The following is a 13,262-nucleotide window of genomic DNA, read 5'->3' on the forward strand; positions in this document are numbered from 1 at the left end:
ATACTTGCTCCCAAGGCTTCTCAATGTTATATTTAAAATCTAGTTTAGGCTAACAAAGAACCACTATTCACATATTCATCATTCACAGTCCAAGTTAGAATTTTCCTGAAAACTAGAATTCTTTGTTGGGATCAAGGGGATTAATCAGTACTAAGTATTATTAAGAGACATTATGCCTTACTCTCACGAGCTGGGGTGAATTGCAAAGGCTTCCACTGAGCCTACCTTCATGGTGGGTGTGTCTTTTCCCCGTAGTGGTGAACCCTGAGGAGATATGTTAGCTAACGTACTCCTTCCTTGAGACAGAACCATATTCTACTCGGTACAAATAGGCTAGCTGCAAGTGCTTTCCAGCAGTGGCCTCCTTTCTTTCTTTACTACCTTTGCTGTATTAACTGCATCTTTTATCTTTTGTATTCTGATGCATTGACAACTGCGGCCTTGCTAACCCTGGAGAGACTGCCCCTCTCAGGGTTAGCCGATTCCTAGAGATAGTAAACAACTTGCCTGAGAATGCAAACCAAATGCAAACCAGCCAATCCAGAGCCCACACCCAACCACCTCTTTTATCAGCCTTATACACCCTGAGCCACTATCCGCCTGCCTTAATCATCTCAGGGCCTGGCATAAGTCACCTAGGGACAGCCCCTATGCCTGAGGACTTGCTGAAGTTATTCAAACTATACAATCCTAAGTCTGCTTACCCTGTGCATTCTTTCCCACAGAAACCACAATAAAGGCCCTTGTTCACAGTTCCTTCCCCTCCTCTGCCTCTGCCTCTTGGAACTGTGAGTAACAAAATCTTGCTTCAATGGCAATCATCTCCTGATCTACTAGCCCTACTATGCCTCCAGTTTGCTATGAATACCATACTCCAGAACACAGACCCATTGCCATAGTTCTCCTTCCCTGGCTCTGCCCACCCCCTTAAATCCTGTTGCTCACAATGCTAACAGCTCTAACCTCCTTGGCATCCACTCATTCCTATGTAAGTCTGTGCTATGTAAGTCTGTACTAAAGTGTCCATGTTATCCCACCGGCCTCATTCATCAACAGGCTGCAGACAGGTCAGGCATCTGAGTCGAGAACTGTAAAAACGCACAGTTTTATTTTTGGTCAGATTTTGGTTTAGGACCAGAACTTTGGATGGAGTCTGTTGGGGGTGGAAACCAACCCTAGGTTGGCTATGGTAGGTGACTGTGAGCATCTAGCCAGCGTGGGAGCATCTGGGGAGCCGGGCAGAAGCATACACACAGCTCCCTCTGGCTGGTGGACACTGAGTTTGTGGTCATGCATTCTAGGTGGTAGAGGGCAAAAGGCTGGAAGGGAAGGTGCAAGAGGAAGAAAGACAAGAAAGAAACATTCAGCCTCACAGGACCAGTGGGTGGAAAGGCTGGTATTTGAGCAGAGATCCTACAGACACACACACACACACACACACACACACACACACACACACTATGTTCTTTCTCTCTATCTCAAGGCCTGAGAAGGCAGATAAAATGCAAGAGACACTTTAAGGAAAGAAGCCACAAGAGGTGATGACTAGTCTTGGAAGCATAGGGAGGAGGTAGAATCAAAGCTGTTGCTCAGAGTGGCTGCGTGTGGGGAGAGGGCTGGGGAAGGGAGTGGATAAAGCACCAGGGGGGCCAACTGTAACTGGCAGAACCTGAGATGCTGCACAAGTGTCTTTGTTCAGGGAGTTTCCCAATCCTAGTCTTAGAGGAAGAAGTCAATTGATGTAGGCTAATGATGCCAGGAAAAAGGGAGTACAGTCTCTGCAGGGTTGCTGGGCCCCTGCTGGGAGGTAAAGCTGTTAGGCAAAGGGGCAGATTGGCTCTCTGTCAGAGGGTTTGTAATCCCCACCCCCACACACTGCCCCAGGAGACCTGGCTTTAGTGTCCTTTCTGCCAGCCGAGGAGACCCCCTCCCCTGTCTTTTGTTCTTGTCTTTTCCAACCTCTGTCAATGCATACCCTGTTCAGCAGAGCCACTTCCCTGCCCTGGCTCCCAGCTCCTCCTATTTTGGAAAACTGAACCAGCCTTGTTGAGGTTGCCTGAGGATATGGACCTTTCTTACCTCCTCCACAGGCTGCTACCCCTGTTCCTGGCCTATTCGTGTCATCATTAGAACAATGAGATCCATAGATGGGAGAGAAAACAGCCTGCTTGCCCTTGGTATGAAGGATGAGGCTGTTTCTCAGGCTGGATATTCAGTTGGGCATGTCATCCATGGATTTCTAAAGGACACTTAGGCATCTGAACAGTCAGTTAGGGGCTGAGTTATCAAATCATCTTTCTACAACCCAAAGATCTGGCCCTTTCCTCAGTTGGCTGTCCCCTTTTGCCTCTTCCAACTCAATGGAGCATCCCGGTGCCAAGCTCTTCCTCCTCTTTCCCTTCAACAGTGGGCTCTGGACATCCATGGGGGGCCTCAACCATGCCCACACTCACAATTAAGCTACCGTGTGTGGCACTGGACACTGCCTATGCGCTGCCACGTGTCACAACTAAACTGCAGTGTGTGGCACTGGACACTGCCTGTGCCCTGCCATGTGGCCCCCAGACCTGCATTATGCACCAGCCACTGCTGTGGCAACCAGCTTCCTGGAGATATAACTGATGGGCCTTTATTCAGCTGCCGTGTGACATGGTTCCTGCCCCAAAGCTCACCAGCTCCATTACATGAGTGTCCTTCAAGATGGAGCCCAGTGGAGAAGAGAGCTGGCAGACAAATGCCCCCCTCTTTTGTTCCCCAGGTGGAACAAAAGTGGAACAAAGTCCCCAGTGGGCAACTTTGAAGTGAATGCTTTGTGGCTCCTCCAAAGGTCCTAGCAGAAAGGAGTCCTCCTTGTTCATAGCCATGCCCCCTGGCTTGATAACATGCCCTTGTTCTGGTGTACCCTCCTTTCCTGTTTCACTATCCCCAAGACCCCATTTCTGCTACTTGGGATTACTCCCCAAAATATATTACCTGCACACAAATCGTTGCTTCTGGTGTCCGTTATTATGGCACCCATTTAGAAAGGAGAACACTGGTATTTGGAGAAGTTTTATAAACACTCATAGAGCTGGATTTTGAACTGGAGTCTTCTCAGCAGCATGTCTGTCTTCTGTGCCACACTACGGTGAGGCTCTTTGCCACCCTCACAAGGGCATGAAGGATGCTTCTGCCTGGATTGTCCTGGTCAAAGAAGGACACTTCCATCTGGTCAAATTTCCTTCCCTTGACCATGTTTTACAATGGCAACTGGGATATAAATAAAGGCTTCTAAAACATCTAGGGGACTTGAATGGAGGGGATCAGGGAAATGGAAATAATTGGGAAATGCCAACATTGGTGGAGGGGCAGCTTTAGAAAACAGAAACCATGGCTGGATGTATGTGACAAATTCAGCAGTGCTTAACAGGGGGCTTCCAATACAGATTTGGAAGCTTATTGTAGCTGACATTTCTTGTCTGTGTACACACTCCCAGCTTCTGGGTGATTTGCTACTAATGGTTTGCACCTGTGCCCTTCCTCAGAGACCCCTCCTTGGGCTCCTGGCAAGAGTTGGAAAGAGCTAGAAGTTTACAACTGTCTCCCACATCCTCCTCCTAGGGTGGCCGCCGCTCCCTTGCCTCCAGGGAACACAAATTCTGAATTATAATTTATGCTACAGAGATTTTTACAGCATTCCAATGAAGCTAGGGCTTCCCCTGAAATCACACCCTTGCTTGGCTTTCTGTCCTCTTCTGTCTTGCTTGACGTACTCTCTTAACAGTATCTCCTGGGAGCACTTCCTTAAGTCATTAGTACATGGATACTCCTGTCAGGGTTTGCTTCTGCAGAACCTGACCTAAAACAGCAATCACTTTGCTAAGTGCCAAGGATGCAGTGACTTCAGAATGCTCATTGTCTGGCAGGGAAGAGGGACAAGCAAACAAATAATTGTAGCAAGGCCTAATGCACACTGGGATGAAGGTACACATGGAATGCAAGAACACTAAGAGCTTTGAGCCTGTCTCCATGTAGCCCCAAATATTGGATCAGGAAGCAGGAGAATGGGCTTTGGAGTTAGAAAGGCCCGAGTTTCAATTCTGGTGTTGCCTCTTACAAGCTGGGCGCTCTTAGATAAGCTTGGCTTCTCTGGTCCTCCATTTCTTCATCTGTAAAATGGATATAATTCCTATCTCAATGAATTGTTATGAGGATGATCTCACTTATGGAACGTTAAGTTCTTGGCCTGGAACAAAGCTCATAATGAGGATCAATATTGGAAGCTCATTTTTTTGGGAATTGCAGCCTTCAGCATGATTTGGATGTATCAATGTAATGTCACATAGGTCAATGGTATGTTCCTGCAGGCCTCCCACACACGAGCCGCAAGCATGATGTCATTCCATCTGTTCTCAGAACTACGAATTTACCAGAGGTCTTCCTTGGTGAGAGGGGTCTTCACACTCTTTTGTTTATTCCTTGCCTCCAAATCACTGGGGCCCACATCCCATTTACCCCTAGCTACCCTGTAAGCACTGTTCTTTCATTTGCTGATCCTGAATTTTCTTCTTTGCTTAAATTTTGTTTCTCTCTGTGAAAGAAAAATGTTATAAGCTGCCCCATATCTTTGCTGCCCCAGGCTCATGAAAAGCTAAATCCGGTCTTGGCTCTCCAAAAGAGAATAAATCCCAGCCTGCCCCCAAAGAAGTTGCTGTCATAATTACATCTCCTTTTGGAATTAATTTTGACTTAATCGCATTACAACTAGATTGCACCATTTCCTTGGCCAAAGTTGGTTCCAAACTGGCTTTGCTATTTTCCTCCTGGTCCATAGATACATCTCTCTTTTTTTTGGTTTGCAAGGAAAATAGCTGGTGGTTTCAAAGGAAGATCAAACAGGATGGCACTGATAACTTCTATGAGGTAACTGAGATGACTGAGCTCTCCCCTGAAGATCCCCATTGGGGACACCATCCCTGCACCACTGAGGGCTTCTGGAGTGTACCAAGCTGTTCTCAGTCACTGCTTCTTAACTGAAAGTACAGGAAGCACCGAAGTGCATATTTTGGGCCCCATTTCTACTCTCTCCCTTTAGTTTCCTTTCTCCCCACCTTATCTTCGTCTCTCCTAGGCCACCAATACAGAATCTGTGAGGTTTTCCAGTTAGCCATGCCCATTGTGTTGGGTCTTAGCATAATCAAGTTTCTCCTCAGTGTTGAGCATCATACTAGGCAAAATATGGAACATAAGGAGAGGGACAATATGGCCGCTTTGGCTCAGGACAACATGGCATCCATGCTACAGGGACTTTTTAAAAGGAAGAATGTAAGCTAGGATAGTGGAGAAGGCTCCCAGAGAAAGTGGACTGACTTCTGGTTGGCTTTAAGAGAAGTGAGAGGAAAGGAAGGGATTCTAGACATAGGAAATGGCTTGAGGGAAGGCGTGGAGACATCCTCTTCCCATCACCCTTCTACATGAGGGAAGGTAGAGAACTAAGGTTGGATACATATGATAAGATTGGATTGCAGAGGGCTTTGAATGCCAAGGTGAGCTCTGAATCTGACTGTGATTTGGAAGTCCATTTGGGAGACACCTAGGATTTTATTAAGCAAGAATAGTTTTGTTTACTGATCCATTTTTCCTGGATTCCCATACCCTACCACTAGTGGACTGGGAAAGCTAGTGGAAGTTGGATGGTAAGATAGAAACTCTGAGAGGGCTTAGGTCTTCCCCTCCTAACAACTAGTGATTATTGAACAGGGAATAACTCAGATAAAAAGTGTTTAAACTGGCAAGAGCATGTAGAATGAAGAAGATTTTATTATTATTGGCTGACATTCTCTGAAATGTTACAACAGGCCCAGTCATGCTTGATATCCTTCATGGGTCGGCAGATTAAGCCCCCTTTGGGGACCCTTCACTGCATAGTCATGCAAGTCTCCCCAGTCTTTCTAAGCATAAGCATTGACAAGGCAGGGCTTGTTCCATCTTCATCCTTTTCTCCTTCCTCAGCCTCATCCAGAGAGCTGACATCACCTTTCTCAGCAACAGACAATCTCCACCAACGAGAAAGTCATTTTTTGTGTCTGTCTTTAATTAATTCACTCATTAATAGAGATATATTGATGGTCCACATGTGTAGAGCAGTTGCCCCTTGTTCAGCTCACCCCACAGGACAGAGATTATTCCCAATCATCTCCCATGGGCAAAGAGTCCAGCCCTACCCTGTGAGGAAGGCATGAGAGGGAACTGCCCAGGTGGGTGCTAGAAGGGTTTGAAAGTGGTTATTAATGGAGGACAGAGCAGTGATCACATGGGAGAGGAACTAAATGTGCTGAGGCTGCTGAAATTGAAAACGCCTGTTAATAGCACAAGTGACACATCATAGATCACTCGCTGACAGGCTGAACTGGGCGCCATCTTGAAGAACGTAGGCTGCATGCTAATGACGCCCAGGAGGAGCTGCGCGCTGCATTGTGGAGGCACCTCTCCTGCCACTTGCTTGTGTAACACTGCAGAGATAGTGGCCCAGAATTCTTCACCAGTCCCAGAGCACTGGTAGAGAGTATGGAATTTGGAGAAAAAGGAACCTGTATTTGCACTCCCTTTCATCCACTTTATATCAGTGAGATCTGGAATTGCAATCAAATGAGAAAATGAATGAAAGTGAATCTCGAAGTGCTCAGAAACAGGGAATGGAGCAGAATTGCTATGAAAATTTCCACCTGCCTCAGACCACAAAAATCAATTTTAGACATAAGTTACGAACACAGTAGCAAATGGAGTTTCTTTGGCTTCCATCCTTTGATGCCTCTTGCTTCTCTTTTCAAGAAACATATGTCTGGGGGATGGGAGGGTTCTTTTTAGTGCCTTTCTGCTTTGTAGAAGAACAATCATTTGAGCAATCGTTGGGGCCAAGGACTAGCTAAGACATTCGAGAAATGTGGTTTTGACTATTCGTCACCCTTATTTTCCCACTCTCTTTGATGGTTCCCAAAGGCTCTTCCCCAGGCTCTGGCTTCTATATCCACGCGGCAGGAGGGCCTTGCTCTCCTAGTGCACTGTCATCTTACAAAGGATCAAGGAGTGTCGTCATGTGCTCCCCTAAGACGGCCAAAGCCTGAATCTGAAAGTTGAAGCTTAAGGAGAAATTCCAGCCATGCATTAAAAGAAATATCAAAGAGGTGCTAGAGCCTTGCTAGCCCCACTGAGAACACCTTGCAGGCAACCCCCAACTTCTCTGTGTGAGACCTCTTGCAAGGCCCTTTGACTTCCTACAGCCTTCTAATGGTAATAGCAATAACCACAATGATAATAACAATAACTACATATCATCGTATCAGGCACTTTAGGCATGCTGTGATTGATATTTTAAAATGAGAAAACCAAAGAGGCCCAGTAAGTCTTCTCAAGGCCACCCAGGGCTGGGCGAGTGTCAAAGCTGGGATTCAAGCCAGACCCAGCCCAGTCTCCTTCCTTTCCCCACAATGCTACCCTGGCCTCACCCTCTGCCACAGCCTTCCGGGGGTTCCAGGGCACCTGCTGCCCAGCCCTTCCTGGATCTTTGTCTTCCCCAAGCTGGAAGTGTGAGTAGAGCCAGTGCCAGGTCTCAGGGGAAACTTAGCAGGAAGCTCATTTGGAAGAAGCTAAAAACAGCCTCCTCAGCCGCCCAGAGACAAGACCTAAATGAGATTAAGCTGGTGCTTAAGACTCTCTCCTTTCAGGCCCCCACCCCTTCCAGTCAGTCCTCTGGAAAACTCTGTCTCTGACGGCTGGCCTTTCTGCTTTCCTAAAGAGATGGGTGCGAAGTGCTGACTCAAGACATGGAGTTTTATGCATGCAAAGGCCTGGGGCTTTGATTCAAGGATGGCCTACAAGTGGATGAAAAAGGGGCCTCAGGAGCGATTTTGTGAGCAGTTGAGTAAAGGAATGAAGGAAGGAATGAGCACATAGATCCATTTGTAATTCTGACTTCCCAGACACAGTGGTGGGCTATGTGCTTGTCTTGGTCAGCTTGGGCTGCTGTAACAAAATACTGTAGATTGAATACCTTATAAACAAAAGACATCTATTTCTTACAGTTCTGGAAACTGGGAAGTCCCTGATCGAGGTACCGGCAGATTTGGTGTCTGGTAAGGGCCTGTTTCCTAGTTCCTAAAAGGCTGTCTTCTCACTGTCCTCACGTGGCAGAAGGGGCAACGGAGCTCTCTGGGGCCTCTTTGATGAGGGCACTAATCTCATCATGAGGATTCCCCTCATGTCCTAATCAACTCCGAATGCAATCGTAATGGGTCTGTTGCCTGATGTGCATGGCAAGTCAACAAACCAAGACACTAGGTTGCAGCAGAGAAAGAGGTTTAATCACAGGGAGGGATGAAGAGATGGGAGAAGACCTCAAATCTTTCTCCCAAGGAATTTAGAGCTAGGATTTTAAGGATTTTGGAGTGGGCCAAAGTACAAAGACAGTTGATGGGTGTATTAGTCTGTTTTCACACTGCTGATAAAGACATACCTGAGACTGGGCAATATGCAAAAGAAAGAGGTTTAATTGGAGTTCCATGTGGCTGAGGAAGCCTCACAATCATGGAGGAAGACAAGGAGGAGCAAGTCATGTCTTACATGGATGGCAGCAAACAAAGAGAGCTTGTGCAGGAATACTCCCCCTTATAATAACCATCAGATCTCTTGAAACTTACTCACTATCACGAGAACAGCATGAGAAAGACCTGCCCCTGTGATTCAATGATTCAATTACCTCCCACAGAGTCCCTCCCACAATATGTGGGAATTCAAGATGAGATTTGGGTGGGGACACAGCCAAACCATATCAATTGGTCAAAGTACAGAGGGTGAAATCATGGAAGAGGGAGATGAAGAAACTGTAGTCTCACGCTGATTTCATTCTGTGGAGGTCTTCACATTGGATGGCATCACCCGTTCTGCTGGAATTCAGGATCTACTTGCAATTCTTAAAAGCCTTGTGATTCTAATGTCAGAAATTCTTAAAAGCCCTGTGATTCTAATATCAGAAATCCTATCTACAGAAACAATGGGAATGCAAATGGTCAGTATCTAGTGCTATGTGACTTTCTATCACAAGGAAGTGGGTCAAAGGGCAGCCTGATTAATGCTTAATTATATTTCTGTCCAGAATCTTTTTTTTCTTTTTGAGATGGGATCTCTCTCTGTCACCCAGGCTGGAGTGCAGTGGCACCATTACAGCTCACTGCAACCTCCGCCTCCAGCTCTCGTCTCAGCCTCCCAATTAGCTGAGACCTACAGGCATGCACCACCATTTCTGACCAATTTTTGTGGGTTTTTTTTATTATTATTTTATTATACTTTAAGTTCTAGGGTACATGTGCACAACATGCAGGTTTGTTTCATATGTAGAGATGCAATTTTGCCATGTTGTCCAGGCTGGTCTCAAGCTCCTGGACTCAAGCGATTCGCCTGTCTTGGCCTTCCAAAGTGTTGGGATTACAGGCATGAGCCACCGTGCCCAGCCCTGTCCAGAATTCTTGTTAACCCTGTTAGGACGGCTTCACTGAAGGTCTTACCTCCAAATACCATCACACTGAGCATTAGGATTTAACATATGAATGGGGTAGAACATAAACAGTCTGTCTATAACAATGCTTAATGCACTTTGCGTATTTTCATCCTGAACCATGTTGGGAAGTTGGGACTTTAACGTTATTTCACAAAGGAGGAAATGGAGGCCCAAGCATTTAGGAGATTTTCTCAGGCCAGCCAACAAGTTAACTGCAGAGCCAGTTGATAACCAAAGCCTCTCACTCTCACATCTGTCCTCTTCCCACTCTGTCATGCTCTTGGAGCAACCTCCTTGACCCCTGTTTCCCCAAAGAGATCACCAGCACTAGTGTGTTCTACACAGACTTTATTTCCTATCATGGTATAAATAGCCCTGCCAGGGGTAACCACAAAAGTTGTAGCTTACTACAAATGACCTCATCACGTACATTCCAGTGGGCAATTTGGGAGGAGCCGGGAGAGAACATGAAGCCTCTATGGGGTCAATAAGCAAGGTTTAATCTAAGGGTGGGAAGCATCCAGAGAGGAGCAGTTGGGGATAGCACAGGCCAACTTGGGGGCCCCTTCAGTCCAGGGTTTCTGTGTTCTACTTTCCTCAGAGGGCTGAAGGGAAACCTCTCTCCCTCATTTCAGGCTTTTTCTCCTGTTTGGATGGTGTTTTCCAGGATTCCACAGGACAGCCATGAGTGCGGCTTTTCCAGGGCTCAGACACTCCTTAGATAGAGGCAGGGCAGTGTGGTGATGACCTCCCCAAACCGGTGGCGCTGCAAGGTTGATTCTCTCCCTAATCCCTGGCCCTTAGAGTGTTCCCAGAGCCCTGCCTAATTGTCTTGTGTAGATAATGCAGGCTGGGTGGTGGAACTGCTTCTACACTCAGCTTCTGGGGGACATCTCAAAGGCTTTGAGCAACTTGCATAACTGCTCAGAAACTAAGATCTTTTCACAGGCCATCATAAGGACAAGGTCCACTGGACCAGACAGAGGGACTGATGCACAGAGTCATCCCTATCTCCCCTTTCAAGATGTGCCTAAGCCCAAGAGAAAGGAGTAAGCTCACTAGGTCAGGGTTGGCACTAACACCCTGGAGCAGATTGAGGATCTGCTGTTTGCGTCCAGACATCAGAGGCAAGCGGCAGCATGCCTTGGGAGAGAGTGGCCCTTCCCAGGCTATGCAGATGCTTGTTCTAACTCTTCCTCGTTTCTTACAAAAGAATTCTTCCATTTAGAAAAAGGTCCTTTTCCTTCTCTTTGAGGTTGGGTTAGGGCCTCTTTGTTCCTTTTTAATGATGAGTCCCTGTCCAGGCAAGAATCAAATGAGAGAAAGGGAGAGCCATATCAGCAAGGCAGACTGTTGAGCTCCCAATGCTTTGGGAGAGGCAGAAACAGGGTGGGATGGTCCTTGCTGCCATGGGGCACATAGCCTAATGGGTCTTTGGAGAATGCAGGTGTCACCTTTCCATCTCAGTGCTGACAACTGCCCTGGTGTTGTGTGTGATTCCTAGGGACATCTGTAATGGGGAGAGCAGGGTCTAGAACCCAAGTTCTCTTCCTGACTCCACCTCTACTGACCTGGGTGGGCCTGGTAGGTTCGGTCTCTGAAGCTATCTCCTCCTCGGTAATATAGATGCTGAGGGTCATGCACAGCTCTCTTCTTGGCTGTTTGGAGGAGCCACTGGGAGCCGGAAATGTATTCATAGGAGAAGGCTGAATACCCAGCCTTCCTAGTCAGATTGTTGGGAAGCCTATCATGTTCTCTTGGTCTTCAAGCCTCCCTTGCTTCTAAGAGGAGGAAACTCTTACCTGCCTTGGCTCTCCTTTATGGAGATCAAGTTGTTTCTATTCCCACCAACAATACCGAGGTTTTGCTCCTCATATACAGCTCCCCTGGACTCTCCCACAGCTTTGTGCTTGTCCTCCAGCTTACTGTTCTGCCAACAGGGTCCGAGCCCCTCCTGTGAGCCCTGCCTGGTGCCTTGGTGAGGTCTCGTTGTCTAGGGACAGGAGTGCAAACGCCAGGCATGGCTATACCAGGCTTGGTGTGTGATGGCTGGCTTGTCCATCATATCTCCCATTGTTCCCACTGAGACCAGAAGGCACCTCCTCCCTCCCCTCTGCTCCACCCCAGGGTTCTATGGCACCTCTGCCTGCAGAGGCCCCCTGCCTACCCTTCTAGATCCACAGCTTCCCTCCCATCCTGCCATCCATCAAGTCTGAAATCAAATATAGCCTTTGCTCTGCAACTTTCCCTTATAAAGATTCTGTGGGAGTGAGCTCTCCCTTCTCTGACCCTTCCTTGTTTCTCCTGCTCTTGTGGACTAAATATGATGACTTTTTGCTGAACTTGTGCAATTTTTCTTCCTGTTCTAGGAGCTCAGAGAGGATGATATCTGGTCATGGACATTTTTTCCCCAGTGCTTGGTGCAGTGCCTGGCCCTCAGGGGTGCCTGATTAGTGTCTGGGGAATGAATGAATAACTGGGATGAGACAAAGGCAGATACAGGTGCCATGGGGACTAATGCTTACATAAATATTGGCACTATCTCCAAGGAAAATAAATAAAAATTATGACTATAGAGTTGGATACAAGGCCTCTGCATCGTGAGGGGTGTAGAGCTCAGTCTTCCTCAACTCCTGAGTCACTTCCCTGGGTGAGGGTGAGGGAGGTGCCTTGGTCGGAGTGCTTCTCAAATCCAGGCCTGCGCAGCCCATGCCACCCCACAGCCCAGAAGGAGCATCCAGGGGCACCCTCCATGATTGATAATTGGGGCTGGAGGGCAAATGAGGAAAAAGGAACAAGGTGAGAAGGAAAGAGCACATCGAAGCAGAAATCCTGAGAGACCCCCGCCCTTTCTGCTAAGGGTGTTATCTCTGCCCCTAGAGTTTCAACTAAGTGTCTTTATCAAGGCTTATAAATTCCACCCTCCATGCAGCAACTCTTCCCACCACCGCCCCCTGCCCTGCAGCCCCTGCCATCCCTCCTCCTCCCCTCACTGCCTCCAAAATCAATTTTCAGCAAGAGCAGCAGGTTCGGAGCCATCTGGGGCTGCTGGCAGCCTCAGCAGGATCTAAGCAGCTCAGTCTGTTTCCCTTAAACCAGCCCCCGAGTTTCTCTGCCATCCCCAGCCTGGTCTTCCCCCTCTTCCCTCTTGCAAGGAGGAGGAGGAAGAATTGGTTCCGGACCTAAGTGTTCTTCTCCTGAGGGGTCCCCCATCCCTGCAGGGCATCCCTGGGTGGGGTGTCAGAGTCCGGCTGTGCTGGCCCCAGGCAGCCAGACAGCAGTACGGGCCACTTCCCCACCTGTGGGGAAGGACGGATGCGCTAATTGGCAGGCAGAGCACCGAGTGGAGGGAGCTGGAGCCGAGCCACGTTCGCAGAGATGCACTTTTCCTCACCTCAGCCTCATGGAAGCTGTGCGGCTCCATCTTGACAAAAGTGCCATTGCATACACAAGGCCATTGTCTCTCTGTTTGGGGGCAAGGAGCAAAAAGTAGAAACTCCTTGTTTTCCCTAGGCTTGAGAGAAGACCTTTCCAGTCCGGAGCCCCTGGGAAGGAATATCCTGCAGAAGAGGGAGTCACACTAGAATGTTTTGTGTGTGTGTTTGCTTTAGATATGGGGACCAGCCTACGAGACTTCCTTCAGCTGAGCCTCTCGGCCACACCTCACACTTACCCCCGACACACACACAGATGTGCTTTCAGCTTTCACCTGCTTTCACAAGTGTTTCTT

General features: G+C 47.9%; 1 long non-coding RNA gene across 2 annotated transcripts in view, besides 3 other annotated features; it reads left to right on the forward strand.

The window, feature by feature from the left end:
* LOC105369617 (uncharacterized) overlaps positions 1 to 13,262 on the forward strand; it is a 257,798-nt gene that overhangs the window by 98,476 nt on the left and 146,060 nt on the right. The gene's annotated exons all lie outside the window — the stretch shown is intronic.
* Positions 1,387 to 2,207: an enhancer, noted in NCBI's record as "OCT4-NANOG-H3K4me1 hESC enhancer chr12:5330975-5331795 (GRCh37/hg19 assembly coordinates)". NCBI's record gives its function as "activates a minimal SCP1, AML or CMV promoter by ChIP-STARR-seq in naive and primed H9 embryonic stem cells {active_cell/tissue: H9 hESC(naive and primed)}" and the evidence as "EXISTENCE:reporter gene assay evidence [ECO:0000049][PMID:30033119]".
* Positions 12,246 to 12,746: an enhancer, noted in NCBI's record as "H3K4me1 hESC enhancer chr12:5341834-5342334 (GRCh37/hg19 assembly coordinates)". NCBI's record gives its function as "activates a minimal SCP1, AML or CMV promoter by ChIP-STARR-seq in naive H9 embryonic stem cells {active_cell/tissue: H9 hESC(naive)}" and the evidence as "EXISTENCE:reporter gene assay evidence [ECO:0000049][PMID:30033119]".
* Positions 12,747 to 13,247: an enhancer, noted in NCBI's record as "H3K4me1 hESC enhancer chr12:5342335-5342835 (GRCh37/hg19 assembly coordinates)". NCBI's record gives its function as "activates a minimal SCP1, AML or CMV promoter by ChIP-STARR-seq in naive H9 embryonic stem cells {active_cell/tissue: H9 hESC(naive)}" and the evidence as "EXISTENCE:reporter gene assay evidence [ECO:0000049][PMID:30033119]".

The sequence above is a fragment of the Homo sapiens genome, chromosome 12, assembly GCF_000001405.40.
Source record: "Homo sapiens chromosome 12, GRCh38.p14 Primary Assembly".
Classification (NCBI taxonomy): Eukaryota; Metazoa; Chordata; class Mammalia; order Primates; family Hominidae; genus Homo; species Homo sapiens.